General features: G+C 42.5%; 3 protein-coding genes across 44 annotated transcripts in view; 1 reads left to right on the top strand and 2 right to left on the bottom strand.

Annotated features, from left to right (window-relative positions):
• Positions 1-12,167, top strand: part of LCA5L (lebercilin LCA5 like) — a 40,051-nt gene extending 27,884 nt beyond the window's left edge. For 39 of the 40 annotated variants that reach the window (NM_001384292.1, XM_011529470.2, NM_001384287.1 and 36 more), the window contains 4 exons: positions 6,093-6,177; positions 7,528-7,631; positions 7,799-7,916; positions 11,283-12,167. In NM_001384292.1, the coding sequence (NP_001371221.1) occupies positions 6,093-6,177; positions 7,528-7,631; positions 7,799-7,916; positions 11,283-12,013 (1,038 nt within the window). In that variant the 3' untranslated portion in view covers positions 12,014-12,167. Of the gene's footprint in view, positions 1-3,848; positions 4,372-6,092; positions 6,178-7,527; positions 7,632-7,798; positions 7,917-11,282 lie in introns of those variants that run through there. The other variant, NM_001384303.1, reaches the window with a different exon arrangement.
• The window catches only part of GET1-SH3BGR (GET1-SH3BGR readthrough), a 135,179-nt gene that overhangs the window by 97,610 nt on the left and 19,765 nt on the right, over positions 1-17,804 (bottom strand). Inside the window, exons 5-7 of one of the 3 annotated variants that reach the window (NR_146618.2) lie at positions 11,837-11,981; positions 11,164-11,333; positions 6,958-7,051 (exon numbers count right to left, since the gene is read on the bottom strand). The exons of the other annotated variants lie outside the window; for them this stretch is intronic. The gene's annotated coding sequence lies outside the window, so the exon portion shown is untranslated. The remainder of the gene's footprint in view (positions 1-6,957; positions 7,052-11,163; positions 11,334-11,836; positions 11,982-17,804) is intronic. 3 annotated transcript variants of the gene reach the window in all.
• GET1 (guided entry of tail-anchored proteins factor 1) overlaps positions 1-17,804 on the bottom strand; it is a 48,203-nt gene that overhangs the window by 10,634 nt on the left and 19,765 nt on the right. The window contains exons 5-10 of the transcript NR_146615.2: positions 11,837-11,981; positions 11,164-11,333; positions 9,978-10,102; positions 9,218-9,289; positions 6,958-7,051; positions 3,891-4,022 (exon numbers count right to left, since the gene is read on the bottom strand). The gene's annotated coding sequence lies outside the window, so the exon portion shown is untranslated. The remainder of the gene's footprint in view (positions 1-3,890; positions 4,023-6,957; positions 7,052-9,217; positions 9,290-9,977; positions 10,103-11,163; positions 11,334-11,836; positions 11,982-17,804) is intronic.

The following is a 17,804-nucleotide window of genomic DNA, read 5'->3' as shown; positions in this document are numbered from 1 at the left end:
ACTTGGGAGGCTGAGGCAGGAGAATGGTGTGAACTCGGGAGGCGGAGCTTGCAGTGAGCGGAGATCACGCCACCGCACTCCAGCCTGGGCGACAGAGCGAGACTCCATCTCAAAAAAAAATTAAAAATTAAAAAATTAAATAAATAAATAAAAAGAAGCTCCCCTGCACAAGTCCTCTGTTGTCCACTGCCATGTAAGAAGTCCTTTTGCTCCTCCTTTGTCTTCAACCATGATTGTGAGGCCTCCCCAGCCATGTGGAACTGTGAGTCCATTAAACCTCTGTCCCTTATAAATTACCTAGACTCAGTTATGTCTTTATCAGCAGCCTGAAAAAGGACTAATACAATCCTATTTAAGATAAAGGAAGCAATAGAAATATATCCATCTATTTGCCTACATTTAAAAAATAAACCAGTAATAGGATAACAGCAGAAAAAGAGAGAATAGAGTAGAAGGGACAGCTCTAGAACCTAGATTTCATGAATATCTTTATGGAACCATGAAAATATTTCCATAAGTACAAAGCAGAATTAAACGTAAAAAAAACTAAAAAGCAGCTGGGTACAGTGGCTCATGCCTGTAATCCCAGCACTTTGGGAGGCCAAGGTGGGCGGATCACCTGAGGTCAGGAGTTCAAGACCAGCCTGGCCAACATGGTGAAACCCCATCTCTACAAAAATACAAAAATAAAAAAATTAGCCAGGTGTGGTGGTGCGCGCCTGTAATCCCAGCTACTCAGGAGGCTGGGGCAGGAGAAATGCTTGAACCCAGGAGGCGGAGATTACAGTGAGCTAAGATCGTGCCATTGCACTCCAGCCTGGGTGACAGAGCGAGACTCTGTCTCAAAAATAAAATAAAAAGCTATCCCTAAATATCCAAAGTAAAATGCAGATGAACCCAAATGTGTATACAGTTAGCCCTTTGTAACCGCGGGATGCAGAACCTGCAGACAGGGAACGCTGACTGTATCCTATTGGTGGCACAAAGCCACAGAAAGAAGCCATTCCAAGTGACTTAAAACACATAATGTCATTGCATATGGCCAGTGAGATACACTGTAAGGACACAAATAACTTTACAAAAAAATCTTACACTGTTTAGTAATGATATAGTTGGTAATGATGTTGATGTTGTTGTTTTGAGAATGTTGTGTGTATCTTATGGGATAAAGCTCCTGATAGATTATGGTGTTGTCATTGAGAACTGGGATTTGGGGGATGGACAAAAAAAAAATACAGAAGTAAGATAGAGTCAAATAAAAATCCTATAGTCCTGATTTTGATCTGAAGTGAAAGTATGCAATATTCTCAGAGTAACCAGGAGCAATGAACACCTCCAGCACCCAGATTATGGTCTGTAAGTTCCATATCCCACTGAAACAAACCAAGGCTCCCTAAAAAAATTCTAGGTCTGGTGCAGGAAATACACTAGATGAACCTGGAACGTATTGTCATACAAAAGCAAAGAAACTATTAAGGACCATTAGGGTAGTATCAAAAGGACTCAGGCCCATCTAGAATAGGTTCTTACTGGCCAAAGATGGGGATATTTGAGGATCAATAAAGATAACTGCCCAGGTTAAAACTTATCAAATGAATCCACACTTCATAATGATACTTAAAAGACTAAACACCTCAGCGATGAGTCACTTGTGGAGGATACTAGGGAACAGCATGCTGTCTTGAAGACTGGTCAGTAGAGGACAAGAAGCAAACATTTTTACCTTCCCTGTATGAACGACTCCTCAGAGTAACCAAATCGTTTGTGAGGGGGTAAGATCCTCCTTATAAAAGCATTCCACTCAATAATGAAGAAGGAATGACAGGATTAGAATTGTCACTATTTTGGAAACTCCTAATGAATTAGTGGCTCTAATCAATGATCATCAGTGGCTCCTAGTATCACATAAGAGATACGCGCTTCCTGACAGAGGTACACACCACCACCTACTCATGCCAACGAACCGAACCTAAACCTAGTTACAGACTGGGCTCTACCTACCAACTGAAAAAAGAAGAGGGGAGAGGAACATGCTCAGGATGGGATGCAGTCAGCAGCATGAGACTGTGGGAAACTGCATTACAGATACCCCCATTTCTACGATTAAATAGCAAAGCAGAAAAAATAAGAGGTGAGAGTGAGAATCTATAGATTAAAAGACAGTAAGAGATATATTAATCAGTCGCAGTGTTTTGAACCTTGTTTAGATTCTAATTCAAACAAACCTTTTAAAAACTATAGAAAATGGGGAAAATGTTAAACAAACTGGATATTTGATTATGTGAAGGAATTATTGATTGGGGGAAGTGGAATGAAGATACTGCAGTTAGGTTTTAAAAGGGATACCCTTGTTTGCTACAGATACTGAAATAAGTTATTAGAGGTCTAGATTTGCTTCAAATAAGCCAGGGCTGGGGAGTGGTCAGAGAGAGTGGGAAACAGCACATGAGTTGTTCATTAGTAAAGCTGGTTCATGGGCTCATGGAGGTTTACTGTACTATTCTACTTTTATTTTTTTATATATTTTAATTTGTATAATAAAGTTTCAAAGGGAAAAATGCTTTTGAAATTACATATTTTATGCATTTTTAAAAGAGTAGAAATGGCTAGATCAAGAAGGTGGCCTCAACACATGCTTTTTGTCCCTCCCTGCCAAAGCCCCATGGAAATGACAGAAAATGTTATTTTTAAAATAACACTCCAAGCCAGGCATGGTGGCTTACATCATTTTTTGGGAAGTTGAGGCAGAAGGATCTTTTGAGCCCAAGAAGTCAAGACCAGCCAAGGCAACAGAACAAAGCCTGTCTCTACAAAAAAATTTAGAAATTATCTGGGCATGGTGGCACAAGCCTGTAATCCCAGCTACTCCAGAGGCTGAGGCAGAAGATCTCGAGCCCAGGAGTTAGAGGCTTTAGTGATGGCGCCACTGCACTCCAGCCTGGGCAACAGAGAGAGACTCTTGTCTCTAAAAATAAATAAAATAATCCAGAATACCAGAAAGGAATACCAAAACTACCAGATCTAACAAAGAATTTCTGGAAGATAAAAAGGGGTTTTTCTTTTTTGTAGATTAATGAAACCAAACATAGACAATCACAAAGTAAAATATGCACAGACACACACACACACACACACACACACACACACACACAGAGAGAGAGAGAGAGAGAGAGAGAGAGAGGGAGAGAACCAGACAGATGCAGTACTGCCTTTTATGACCTAGCCTTGGCAGTCACGCAGCATCACTTCTGCCTCACAGCATTTGTCAGGGCAGTCCTAGGCAGTTCAAGCAGTGAACTCCACCTTTTGGTAGCGAGTCACGAGGTTGTTGAAGAGCATATAGGACTAGAAATCTTGTCGTGGGAATTCTAGGAAAATACAGTCTGCCACATTAACGAAAGTCATAGTTTGAGCTTGGAAGAGTCTGGTCCCAAAGGTCAAAAGTTCGTTTCTTTACTTTGAAACTCATTTTCAAAGTCATCCCACACCGAGTTCTAGGCCCACTTCTGCAGTATGAGCCGAAGTAAGAAGAGGGATGTCAGCCTTCCACAGCTCCCACGTGAGGTACTGCCACCCGTCTTACACCCAGGCTACGGTCACACTCCTGCATTAAGACACTGCTTTCTATCTAAGTTCCGGAAGCCATCAATGCTGACCTTAATATGATTCCACACCATGACCCAACTTCCCATTTAACTCTTCCTTGATACCCTTTGTGCTTGCGGGCAGGCTTTGCGCTGAGTATTCCACGAGCATTGCATGAACACTCCCAGCCACGGGTTAGCTTCTTGTTTCCCTTGACTGACTGAACCCAACCACACAAGTATCCCGGGTTGTGTTCCAAACAGGCTGTGTTAGACTTCTGGCCCAGCTCTGTCGTGGTGCCCAACCTGAAGCTCTGCTCCAAGCCGCAAGGAGGACCGTCCTCCAGGTTGCTTCCTTTTGACCCACGCCGCCCCTGTCGCAGCCTCTTGTTGTTGTTCTGTTGTTGCTGTGCCTCCTTCCTGCTCTCGGTTGCTGACCTCCAGGTGTCCAGACCAAATCAAAAGATAGAACTGAATTTTTCAGGTAATCAAAATGTGTCCCTGTAAACATGAAAATGTTTCCTAACCAGTGTGGATGAAAACTCATTCTAAAATGTTTTACACAGTATCCTTCATCTGAAAGCTATTATCCAGAATACACCTGATCAACTTTTCATGGTGATGAACTGTCAGCATTTACTGTTCTTTTGGCTGTTACCACAATAAGAAAAGAGAGATGAACTGTTAACATTTTTGCCTCCAGAAACTTAAATTCTAGAAAAGATTAATATTCTCATGTTTTATCCCTTTGTGTACCTCTGATAATAAACTAATTTTATGATTCAAATGAGTAGAAAATTTACACTGTACAATTCAGGTACAAAAATATGTCATGTTCTTTATTTTCTGTAACTAAGCCATACTTCCTTATGAGCCCCAGTCCCACAAATTAGGGATGAGGATGGCAGTTGGACAAGAAGAAATGGATAAAAGCTTGTCTCAGTCTCTTCTAACTCAAAACAGTCTTATGCTAGGTTGTCTCTTAGACTTGCAGACTTTTTCCTCATCCCTATCTTCTGTCTCAGTGGAGATGGCATCCTGGGCATGAGAGAAAACATATGTGTACTCTTGGTGGAGTGAAAAAGAGGCCTCTGGTCTGTGTTCTGCCCTCTGGCCCCTCTCTAGAGCTGGTTCTCCTGACGAGTGACTAGTCTTAAATCAAATTCCCAGGACCCTGTCTGATGTGTACTGAATGTGGCTGCTAAAACTCCTGGCCTCTTCTCAGTCTGGTCAAATAAATCCTGGTGATTGTCCCCTGCTGACTGTTGATGCAAATGCTCTGAGATGCATCCTCCATCTGATCCCTGGCTAGATTCTCTGTTGCAAAGCCTGTGCTATGGGAGCACCTGGATCTGTAACCTTAAGGACTCCAGGGCAGGTGCAGCTCCCTCCACAGGTCCCACTGGTTGCAAGGGTAAGGGAAGCACAATCTCTGGCCTAGAGAGGGTATTTAGCCCTTTCTAACTTACACTTGGGCAATACCATGTTACTTTAGCTCCATGATGAATGGGGCGGCGGGGGAGGCGCTTTTTAAGGGGCTTGCAATTTTCCTGGACCACGCCAAGGCCTCTTGCACTGAGACTTTCCCAAACCTCAGAGATGTTTCTCACCCCCTGAATATCCCTTGGCCCATAGATTTGACCCTAAGGGGCACAAGGAGACAAGAGCTCTCTCTCCCCGCCCCACCCCCCGTGTGTGTGTGTGTGTGTGCACATGCACGTCTGTCACACTCTGACATCCCTGGGTTCCTTCCTCCTTACTTCATATATGCCCACCTCTCTTAACCATGGTTGTTACTAAAATTCAATGGTCTTGAGTCCAAAGCCTTTCTTGCCTCCTGGTGTACATGTAAGAAGGAGCATTTGATATTTAATAAAAACCCTTTCTTTGTTCCTCAACAAGTTAAGGTTTCAAAATGTCTGTTTTGCCAAGACTCAAAAAAATCAATATGAAATTTAAAATGGAACAATGATACCCTTGTTCTAGGCTTCCCCCCCGGCCCTTGTCTAGACGTAGCCCTGTCTCATAGAACTTTCTATTAGATGGTGGAAATGTTCACCTGTGCCATCCAATACTGTAGTCACTAGTCACACACAGCTGCTGACCGCCTATTGGAAATACAAATAGTGTGGCTGACGACCTAAATTTTAGTTTTACTTTCATTTAAATGAAATCACAACATATAGTTAGTGGCTACTGTAATGCACAGTACAGAAGAATATTTCATAAACTTCAAGGCCCACAGGACAGAAGGAAAACAGTGGACAAGCTGACCTGCAAGGCTCTTCAAAAATACTGTCCCGATCACAATAATGTGTCACTTTGTTTAAAGAGCTAGTACTTTTCGATGTCAGGAATGGTATAGGATGATATGGCCTATTTCTGTTTCTTCTAAAATCTACAGATTTTATTCATAGGATACTGAGCTCATTTAAATTGTTTTTAAAAGAAATCAGGGTTGACAAAAGCAAGCATTTATAGAAAAATTGGTTTTGTGGTTCTTTTTAGGAAAAGGATCGTGAGCTTGAAATTAAAAACATCTATAGTCATCGAATACTTAAAAATTTACATGACACAGAGGACTATCCAAAAGGTATGTTTTAATTACTTTTGCTCAAAATCTATTTTTAAGTATCTAGTCAGATTTTCCTAATTTATATAGACAAAATAATGGATATTTTCAAAAATCACTTCATTAGGCATTAAAATACATTTTGTGATTCTAGAAGAATAACGAGACTGAGATGGTGACATGGCTAGCAAGGAATAGAAATGCTTTCCCGTTCTCCCATCCTCAGCACACCCCTTTATGTCCTTTCTTCAGGTGGAGCAAAAGGATAACTTCAGCTTGAAGCAAAATGTCTGCCAAAAAGTGAACTTTCTAAGTGTATCTGTTAGCCAGTGTATGGCTTTTCAAAATGAACTTTATTGGGGTATACTTGACCTCAATAAAATGCATCCATTTTAAGTGTGCACGCAGCTCAGTGGGTTTTGACAGATGTTTATACCGATGGAGCCACCACCCCAATCAAGATATTGAATATTTCCACCTCCCCAGGAAGTTTCCTCGTGTCCCCTGCAGTCAGTAGTCCCCTACCTCACCCGAGGCAACCACTGACTTTCCTTTGGTCACAATAGCCTAGGTTGTCTGTTCTAGAATTTCATGTAAGTGGAATCCCACAGCTGCACCCTTTTGTATCTGGCTGCTTTTGTTCAGCATAGTGTTTTTGAGATTCATCTATATTGATGCCACTATCATTAGTGTATACCTCTCATTGGTGAGGTCTTCTTTTCTTCAAGAGCACGTGCACTGCTTTCCCCCCAAAATCTCCCAGCAACAGATTCGACTCAGAAGTACCATAGGAATACTCACCTCTGTTTTATTAGAAGAAGTAGCTACATGTTTACTTCCAGATGCAACAACCTCAAATTTCCTTGCCTGCCTTTGTTTGCTTCTGGCTTATAATCTAGAATAATAGAGACAATGAATCAACCGAGGGGTTGTTTAAATGATATAATTTCCTTCACTTTTCAGGAAAGTGCAGTCTAGATTTAGTGGTCATGCGCTTCAGCATGGACAGTCTAACCACTGATAATCAAGAGCTCCGCCACAGGATAGCTCGGTGGCCTGGCCTCTCACAATTACACGTCTACCTTGCTGAATCCCATCCACAAAGGACAGCCTTGTCCTCCAACAGCAACAATGTCTTATCCTAACACCTACTTGTTTTATACTCAAACACTGTGAGGCCCAAAGTAAGACAAAGCAAGGGCCCTGGAGGGAAAAACAGGAAACTAACAAATGCTTATATATATATTGAATATTTAGAAAATACTTAGTATACTTTATTATTACATTGCATAAAAGTTATTTTATGTTTAAAATCAATATTGTATCCAAATGTAAAATATGTTTCTTACATATAATCTACCTGTTCCATAGTTTCTTCAACAAAATCAGTCCAAGCAGACAGAAAAATTTTGCCATTCACAAGTATGAGACACCAGGGAACCCAAAAATCAGATGTTCCACCTTTGACAACTAAGGTACAGCAAATTTGGAATCTTGCAGTGTCTGATTAAACATGTCTTAACAAAAATAGGCTACAGTCACTTGTTCTATGTGAAAAGTATTTGTAGTCATTAGAATAAAATGCAATTTTAAGTTATCTAGACCCCCCAAAATGTGTTTTTGCTGCTTTTCTAAATTACAGGGTAAAAAGGCAACAGGAAACATCGATCATAAAGAAAAATCAACTGAAATAAATCATGAAATTCCTCACTGTGTGAATAAACTACCAAAGCAAGAGGATTCTAAGAGAAAATATGAAGGTAATTTTAACTCTTTAAAGTCTATCTTATCTGATTTCTTTAAAATTGTGAATTACTATATGTGTATATAAAGCACACATAAAACAGCTGGGCATGGCAGCTCGCACCTGTAATCCCAGCACTTTGGGAGGCCAAGGCAGGCAGATCACCTGAGGTCAAGAGTTTGAGACCAGCCTGGCCAACATGGTGAAACCCTATCTCTACTAAAAAATACAAAACTTAACCGCACATGGCGGTATGTGCCTGTAATCCCAGCTACTCAGGAGGCTGAGGCAGGAAAATCGCTTGGACCCAGGAGGCAGAGGTTGCAGTGAGCCAAGATCGTGCCACTGCACTCCAACCTGGGTGACAGAGTGAGACTCTGTCTCAAAAAATTAAAAAAAAAACATAAAACCGTTTCCAGAATTATAATGAAAGGAACACCTATGTACCCAGTAGCCTGCTTAAGAAACAGTGGATGAGTACTCCTTGGAACACCCTTGGGCCCTTCACAATCATATCCCCTCGCCCTGCCCACCAGAAACCACCACCGTCTTGGGTTTTAGGCCAGTCATTCCCTTGCTTTCCCTCACAGCTCCCTGTCTTTATATGTAGCTACATTCGTCTGCTTGGGCTGCCATAAGAAAATACCACAGACTGCCGGTTTAAACAACACTTATTTATTTTCTCATGGTTCTGGAGGCTAGGAAGTCCGAGATCAAGGTTCTAGGCATTTGGCTTCAGTTAAGGCCCTCTTCCTGGCTTTAGATGTCCCGCTTCTCACTATGTCTTCATGTGGCGTTTCCTTAGTGCTCGCACGAGGAGAGTCGGGGAGAGAGCACCAGTGCTCCAGTGTTTCTTTTTATAAGGACACTAATTCCGTCATGAAGGCCCCAACCTTGTGATCTCATTTAACCTTAATTACTTCCTTAAAGACCCAGTCTCCAAATATAGCCATACTGGGGGTTACGGCTTCAACATATGAAATTTGGGAGGAAGGAATACAAACATTCATTTCATAATAGTATCCTTAAATAATATATTCAGCTTTGAAAAACTGAGTAGCAAATTATTCAAATCCAGCTGAGCAAAGGGCAATATTACCACTTTTGAATAAAGACTTCCAGAAAAAGGACCCCAGCTTCAGCTCCCTTGAATATACAAGGGCCCAATCAGTGGGTGAGGTCCTGAATCATCCTGGGAGATAGAAAAACCCTCAGATCCATGGCATCTGGCAGAGCTCTTCTGGGCAGGCCCAAGAGAGCTAGGGCCAAGAGAACGGGCTGCCCAGATTTTCCTATTCTAAGATCACCAAAGCTTACCTTCAGCTCTTGGGAGTAGGTGGAAACAAACTGCTTCTTTGGGTTCCAAGGAGAGTCCTCAGCTGGCCCAGACTGCAGGGTTTGATAGAGAGTACAACACTTCATCAGCCATGGGCAAGACAGGCCAAGGCCCTGGCTCACCTGGTGTTTGGGACCTGGAGGTCTAATGGAGCAGGGGTCCTAGTCTGTCTCCTCATCTCTGGTGTGCAGCTAACATCCTGGGATTGCCCTTCATCATTTCCTGCAGATTCCTGTCACTCCCCTTCTCTACTGGATCTTCTCTTTCCTAAGCCAAGTCCTCCTCTTTCTTGGTAAATTCCATCATGTTTTAAAGAGCACAACCTTCACTAGCTTCTTGTAAATGGGTGCAGGTAAGGTAAATTTGTATACCTCTCATCTGGAAGTGTCATTATTCTGCCCTTACACTTGATTAATACTTGCCTAGATAGGAAACTCTAGGTTGAGGGTCATTTTCCTTTGGAATTTTGAAGATGTGGCTCATTGTTTTCATGTTACATTACCACTCGTGGGAGATCTGGCTGCAGCCCCGCAAGGCTGGGTAAGAGCAACTTCTGAGGAAAGTACATGCATGATGAATGAGTCCCAGAGTTCATTCAGGGCTGCAAATCAGATGTGTTCCCTTAGGCAGCATGGAGAGCCCTTGTTGAACACATTGGGCCTTCAGTAGAGGCCCAAGGGCCTCACCTTAGTTGTAAGGCCAAATAATGTTTAAATAACACAGTAGTTTGACAGAACTCACCGGCAAAGCCACTCTCTCTGTTGCAGTTTGGTGGAAACTGATCGTCAGTTGCAGTTGCACTGTGGTCACTGGTGTGTTTAAATTTTCTGCTTATTTTTCAGTCCATTGTCCTAATTCATAGTGTCCTAGAAAGTGTATCCATTCATTTGACAAATACTTTCTGAGCATGCACTATGTGTCTGACACTGTTCTAGGCATTAGGGAGACAGGAGGAAGCAAATGCAAAACCCTGCCCTCATGTGCTTATATTCTGTAGTGGGAACATCCTTCCCCATCAGTTCACATGGATCCAGCTCATTGTCTATAATAACTGCCTGGAATTCCACAGACTGCACGTGCCATACCTTATTTAACCATTATTCCTTTGGCAGATGTTTAGGAGGTTTTATTGTTACTAACCCACGCCACAGTGAACATCGTTGCACTTATCCTTGTCTATTTTTTGTAGGTTCGTTCTAAGAAGAAGTTGTTAGGTCTAAGAGTATATTCACCTAAAATCTTGATACTGCCAAATTGCCATCCAAAAATGCTGTACCAACAACACACCCACCAGCGGGGACCAAACATTCCAATTTCCCCATCTTCTCACCAGCTCTAGAAATTATTTGCCAATTGGATGGATGAAAAATGTTCTCATTGTGTCCTGTTCTGTTCTGTTCTGTTCTTCTGTTCTGTTTTGTTTTGTTTTGTTTTGAAACAGCTCTGCTCTGTTGCCCAAGCTGGTATGCAGTGGCACAGTCACGGCTCACTGCAGTCTTGTCCTCCTGGGCTCAAGTGATCCTCCCACCTTAGCCTCCTGAGTAGCCAAGACTACAGGCAGACACCACCACACCCAGCTAATTTTTGTATTTTTTGTAGAGACAGGGTTTCGCTATGTTGCCCAGGCTGGTCTCAGACTCTTGGGCTCAAACAGTCCTCCTGCCTCAGCCTCCCAAAGTGCCGGAATTACAGGTGTGAGCCACTGCACCCAGCCATCATTGTTTCAACTGGCAGTATGTCCAGTTAGTGATGTTAAACATCTATTAATAACCTTATTGGCAAATTTTATTTCTTCTTCTATGAATGTCATTTTTCTTTTGGTTTCATAATTCCCATCTGCTTGGGAAGTTCCAAGAAACTGTAACATAACACATTTGTTAATAGCACCTTTCTCTGTAATCTTTTGTCTATGCATCTATTTTCTTACCTTTTCTGTCATTTCAGTGTGCTTGTGAGGCGGTGCACGTAAGTGTACTAGACATGCCATCTTGAAATAGAGATCCATTCATTTTAAACAGCACTAAATTGCCTATTTTTCTAATATAGATTTATCAGGGGAAGAGAAACATTTGGAAGTCCAAATACTGCTGGAGAATACTGGAAGACAAAAAGACAAAAAAGAAGACCAAGAAAAGAAAAACATTTTTGTGAAAGAAGAGCAAGAACTACCACCAAAAATAATTGAAGTTATTCATCCTGAAAGAGAAAGCAATCAAGAAGATGTTCTAGTAAGAGAAAAGTTTAAAAGAAGCATGCAGAGAAATGGTGTGGATGACACACTTGGCAAAGGCACTGCTCCCTACACGAAAGGCCCCCTCAGACAAAGAAGACATTACTCATTCACAGAAGCAACTGAAAACCTGCATCATGGGCTTCCTGCTTCAGGGGGGCCAGCCAATGCCGGCAACATGAGGTACAGTCATAGTACAGGCAAGCATCTCAGTAACAGAGAGGAAATGGAGCTAGAGCATTCTGACAGTGGGTATGAGCCCTCATTTGGTAAGTCTTCCAGAATAAAAGTGAAGGATACAACTTTCAGAGATAAGAAAAGCAGTCTCATGGAAGAACTCTTTGGATCAGGCTATGTCTTGAAAACTGACCAATCAAGTCCTGGTGTTGCAAAAGGCTCAGAGGAGCCTTTGCAAAGTAAGGAGTCGCATCCCCTGCCTCCCAGTCAGGCCTCCACCAGCCATGCTTTCGGAGACTCTAAAGTAACTGTGGTAAATTCTATTAAGCCATCGTCACCTACAGAAGGAAAAAGAAAAATAATTATTTAAATATAATCAATATCCTAATGCATTCTGGTTTGATATAATGCTGCTTATGTGCCTTGCATCTTATTTTTGAAATGTGTGAGAGAGGGAGTGTATGTATGTGTGTGTTTTAGTACTTAATTGACTTTCGATAATTAAATTTTTGTTTGATTGCTAATCTAGTAAAAAATCTATTTTATATTAGCCAATGATAACACTTCAAATACAAATTTACATCTTTACAACTGAAACATCCATTATCTTCTGGAAGACTGGTTTACTATATGGTTTTAGTATTCTGTGGGACTCCATAGCTAGTAACTCTTAAGTTAGTCAACCCAAGACATGCATCTCCTACACAACAAAATTTATCAGCAATAGAGTTGAATTGTAACTTAAAAACATGGAAGCAGGCCAGATGCAGTGGTTCTTGCCTGTAATCCCAGCATTTTAGGAGGCCAAGGTGGGAGGATCACTTGAGTCCAGGAGTTTAAGACCAGCCTGGCCAACATGGTACAACCCCGTCTCTACAAAAATTATAAGAATTAGCCAGGTGTGGTGGTGTGTGCCTGTAGTCCCAGCTACTTGGGAGGCTGAGGTCAAAGAATCACTTGTGCCCAGGTCGAGGCTTCAGTGAGCATGATCGTGCCACTGCACTCTAGCTTGGGCAATCGGAGTGAGACCGTGTCTCAAAAAATAAAAACAAAATGTGGCAGCAGCTTTGAAAGGGAACAATATGATCAAAAGACTCTTTTTACTAAAAAAAAAAAATAGGCTGGGTGCCATGGCTCACGCCAGTAATCCCAACACTTTGGGAGACCGAGGTAGGTGGATCACCTGAGGTTAGGAGTTTGAGACCAGCCTGGCCAACATGGTGAAACCCTGTCTCTACTAAAAATACAAAAAATCAGCTGGGTGTGGTGGCACATGCCTGTAATGGCAGCTACCCAGGAGGCTGAGGCAGGAGAATCGCTGGAACCCCAGGAGGCAGAGGCTGCAGTGAACCAAAATAACACCACTGCACCCTAGCCTGGGTGACAGAGCGAGACTCCATCTCAAAAAAAAAAAAAAATACATATATGTATGTATGTGTGTATATATATAGTGATTACCAAGCTTAGTTTCATGAAAATCTTTTTTTTTTTTTTTTTTTTTGACAGTGTCTCAGTGTGTCACCCAGGCTGGAGTGCAGTGATAACAATCTTGGCTCACTGCAACCTCCGCCCTGCCGGGGTTCAAGCGATTCTCGTGTCTCAGCCTACAGAGTAGCTGGGATTACAGGCATGCACCACCACACCCAGCTAATTTTTCTATTTTTATTAGAGACTAAAAATGGTTTTGCCATGTTAGCCAGGCTGGTCTTGAACTCCTGACCTCAGGTGATCTGCCCACCTCAGCCTCCCAAAGTGCTGGGAATGACAGGCGTGAGCCACCGTGCCCAGCCATGAAAATCATTTTTGAGTTTCTCTTATTCAGCTAACCTGGGTATCCAATGTCCTGCCTTTGTGGGTGATGCTTTCCTTGTGTACACCTGAGATCCAGTATCATTTATTGAGATTTGTTGCATACCTGTATGTTGACCATTTTTCTGTTAACCTTGTTCTAAAAACCATAAAACAGTACCATGGCCCTGCTGGTGTTTATTCGAGCTAGCTGCTCAGTCCTAACTAATATATTTACTAAACTTAGGATATTTTAAATTAGGACTGTAAAAAGGAGGCTATACTCCCAGCCTCACTTTATTTAGCTTACTTCATTTAGTTATAAGGGCAACTTGTTTATAATCTAGACCATACTATTTCCTTTCCAATGATGTTTATGTGTTGGTGTGTAATATTAACTGTAATGGCAGCTACCCGGAAGGCTGAGGCAGGAGAATCGCTTGAACCTGGGAGGAGGTTGCAGTGAGCCAGGATCGTGCCACTGCACTCCAGCCTGGGCGAAGGAGCAAGACCCTGTCTCAAAAAATATAAAAATAAAAATAGAGCCGGGCGCAGTGGCTCACGCCTGTAATCCCAACACTTTGGGAGGCTGAGGCGGGCGATCACCTGAGGTCGGGAGTTCGAGACCAGCCTGACCAATTTGGTGAAACCCCGTCTCTACTAAAAATACAAAAATTAGCCATGCGTGGTGGCCAGCATCTGTAGTCCCAGCTACACAGGAGGCTGAGGCAGGAGAATTGCTTGAACCTGGGAGGCAGAGGTTGCAGTGAGCCAAGATCCCGCCACTGCACTCTAGCCTGGGCGACAGAGTGAGACTCCATCTCAAAAAAAAAATAAAAATAAAAATAGTAGACCGGGAGCGGTGGCTCACCCCAGCACTTTGGGAGGCCGAGGCGGGCGGATCATGAAGTCAGATCGAGACCATCCTGGCTAACACGGTGAACCCCGTCTCTACTAAAAATAACAAAAAATTAGCCGGGCGTGGTGGCGGCGCCTTTAGTCCCAGCTACTGGAGAGGCTGAGGCGGGAGAATGGCGTGAACCCGGGAGGCGGAGCTTGCAGTGAGCCGAGATCGCACCACTGCACTCCAGCCTGGGCAACAGAGCGAGACTCCGTGTCAAACTAATTAATTAAAAAATAATAAAACCAAAGATGAGATAAATACTACAATTGGCATATGCTTTGATCGTTTATGAAAAGCAAGGTGGAATAACATAGAAAAGAAGAGGACGGAAGGAGTAAGGGAGGCAGGGAGGGAGAGCTCTCACAGGCTCATAAGGGGAAATACGCAAATTAAGTGAGATGACATAGTGGCCTCAATTCCGGAGAAATGTATTAAAAGGACTCCTGGAAATGGTATGCTGAGTAACATGACAGTGTCTACTCCAGCTTCATAGCAGACAGAGGATTTTCCAAGGGATCTTTTCTTATGCCCACCCACAATGAAAGCACACATCGTGATATTAAATCAGAGCTATATTTAGAAGTGTAGAGAACTAATTTAATAAAAATACAATCTAAGCCTGTTGTTGTCTAGTCATCTTAACTGTATGAATAAAAAAGTTAGAGGGTAACAGATTAACATGCTAACTTTTTATCTCTGAGTATTATGAGATTGGGGCCAATTTTTAATTTACTTTTAGTGTTTTCTACTCTGGCTTTCTTTCGCATGTTTGCTATGATGAACATAACTTTACGATCATGGAAAAAAGATTTTTAAAAACAAATCCATTTCCTGAGCTCTGAGAGAGAAGGTACTCCAACACTCTTGCTGTAACAAAAGCTAAAAATGCTGTACCAACTATAGAAAACGTTTCTAAATCAGCTGCTCAGCTGGTAAACACGAAAAGAAATTAGGCACCCAAGGAGATAAGTAAGCAAAGCACTAAAGTAAGCTTCTGCCTAAAGGGCATTTGCCGAATATGTCTGAGCAACACAGACTCCTCCTGAGGACAAAACCCAGGCAGCCCAAGTTAGGGGGTCCGTTTTCCATACAATGCTGGGACCTCCCTGGGGTCTCCAGCTCAGTGAACTAAAAGATTGTAAGTAAAGAACTCAGACTCTTTACAGGTGGCTCAAGACTGTAATCCCAACACTTTGGGAGGCCGAGGCAGGCAGATCACTTGAGGCCAGGAGTTCGAGATCAGCCTGGCCAACATGGTGAAACCCCGTCTCTTACTAAAAATACAAGTATTAGCCAGGTGTGGTCGTGCACGCCTGTAATCCCAGCTACTCGGGAGGCTGAGGCAGGAGAATCGCTTGAACCCAGGAGGCAGGGGTTGCTGTGAGCCGAGATCATGCCACTGCACTCCAGCCTGGGTGACAGAGCAAGACTCCATCTCAAATAAACTAATTAATTAATTAAATAAAATAAAAGCTAGCACGAAAGACACGCAACTCTTCCTTGCACTTGAACATTTAGAGGTCATCATTATTATTGAAATTAGGGGCCAATGTTGCCCTAATTTCAACATTTTTGTGTCTTAAGGAATAGGGAGCCCTGGGGAAGGGGGAGAGACGGGAATGGCCAAGTCAGTGGTGCAGTCAGCACACACACATTTATACATTAAATCTGCTGCCTCATACGGGTGTAGTTCTTGATGCCCCAAAACAATTACAGTAGTAACATCAAAGATCACTGATCACAGACCACCATAACATATAATAACGAAAAAATATGAGATGTTATGAGAACTACCAAAACGTGACACACACACACAAAGTGAGCACATGCTGTGGATAAACGGCGCTGACAGACTTGCTCGATGCAGGGTTGCCACAGACCTTCAATTTGTGAAAAATATAGTCTCTACAGAGCACAGTAAAGTGAAGCGCAAAAAAACAGACATGTCTGCGTGCTGAAAAGCATGAGAAACCAAACAATGTATTTTTACAGATTCAAGTATGTGATACAACTCTGACGAATAGGAAATGATAAAATTCAGAGCAGTGGTGTTACCTTTACTCAGTGGGGATCGCAAAGGTTCTTCTAAAACTTGGGTGAAAGATACAAAGATTTGTATTGTATTTTTATTCTTTAAAATTTACATATTTTAAATATTTTATACCTCTCAATATTTAATAAAAACTATTTTTTAAAAAGACTCAGGAAAAATGGCTGGACACAGTGGCTCACACCTGTAATCACAGCACTCTGGGAAGCTGAGGCAGAAGATCACTTAAGGCCAGGAGTTTGAAACCAGCCTGGGCAACATAGCAAGACCCCGTCTCTACAAAAATTTAAAAATTAGTCCAAAGTTGTGGTACACACCTATTGTCCCACCTACTTAGCAGGCTGAGGCAGGAGGATTACTTGAGTCCAGGAGTTCGAGACCAACCTGGGAACACAGTCAGACCCTCCTCTCTACAAAAATAAAAAATGAGAAACAGCCAGGCATGGTGGCGCATGCCTGTAATCCCAGCTACTCAGGAGGCCAAGGCTGGAGGATCACTTGAGACCAGGAGCACGAGGTTGTAGTGAGCTATGATCATGTCACTGCACTCCAGCCTGGGTGACAGAATGAGACCCTGTCTCTAAAAAAAAAAAAAATACAGGAAAAGAATTTGGCCAACATAAAGGAATGATTACCCTACCCTTTAGAGTCCAATATCCTTTCCCACAATATTGGCTAAAACTACACAATATTCATGCTATTTATGATTGAATTCACTAGTAAGAGTCAGCACTCTGCGTGTCAATAGATTGATACGCATTAGAACCCAAAGATGCATGCAGGAAAGCCGACCCACACAAGAACCCTGGGTCCAGAGACAGGATGAGCTGCCTGGCCTGGGATTCCAATGGTGTTCAAACCAGTCACACATGGCTTTGAATCTGAGATGTCATCAAAGTGCTCCATACCGCAGGCCTTATAAGAGAGCAGCACTTAGAAAATTCTCCTGACGGTTGTTAATTGCTAACATTTCAACTGCAAAGAAAACAGACTCCATACACGGCTCTAGTGGAAAACCATTATGTGATTGTGAGTTAAATACTCTTGGGTACTGACTGAAGGCATGCAGGAGGAGTACAGAAAAGCTCAAGGAATAGTCTCTGGCCCTAAAGGCACTTGCGTCATCACTGAAATAACCTTTTATCACACACAAAACAAGGATCTACAACAAGAGAAACAAAACCACAACAGCAGACACAACAAATCAGTCATACAGATAGTATTTTAAATGCTCAGATGAGGATGGGAAAGAAAGGAAACCACCACCATAAGGGAGAAAGCTTTAAGTCTAAAGCTCCGGTTCCGGGGGGCTGTCAGCACGTGCGCGTGCACACACACACACACACACCTCTCCCATGATGCACTGTGTAAGAAAAACTATGGAAGGCCAGAGAGCCCCCCCAGGTCAGGGGACAGTAA

This window comes from Homo sapiens, chromosome 21, assembly GCF_000001405.40.
Source record: "Homo sapiens chromosome 21, GRCh38.p14 Primary Assembly".
Lineage (NCBI taxonomy): Eukaryota > Metazoa > Chordata > Mammalia > Primates > Hominidae > Homo > Homo sapiens.
Note: the sequence above shows the minus strand (reverse complement) of the source record. Positions and strands in the feature narration are given on the sequence as shown.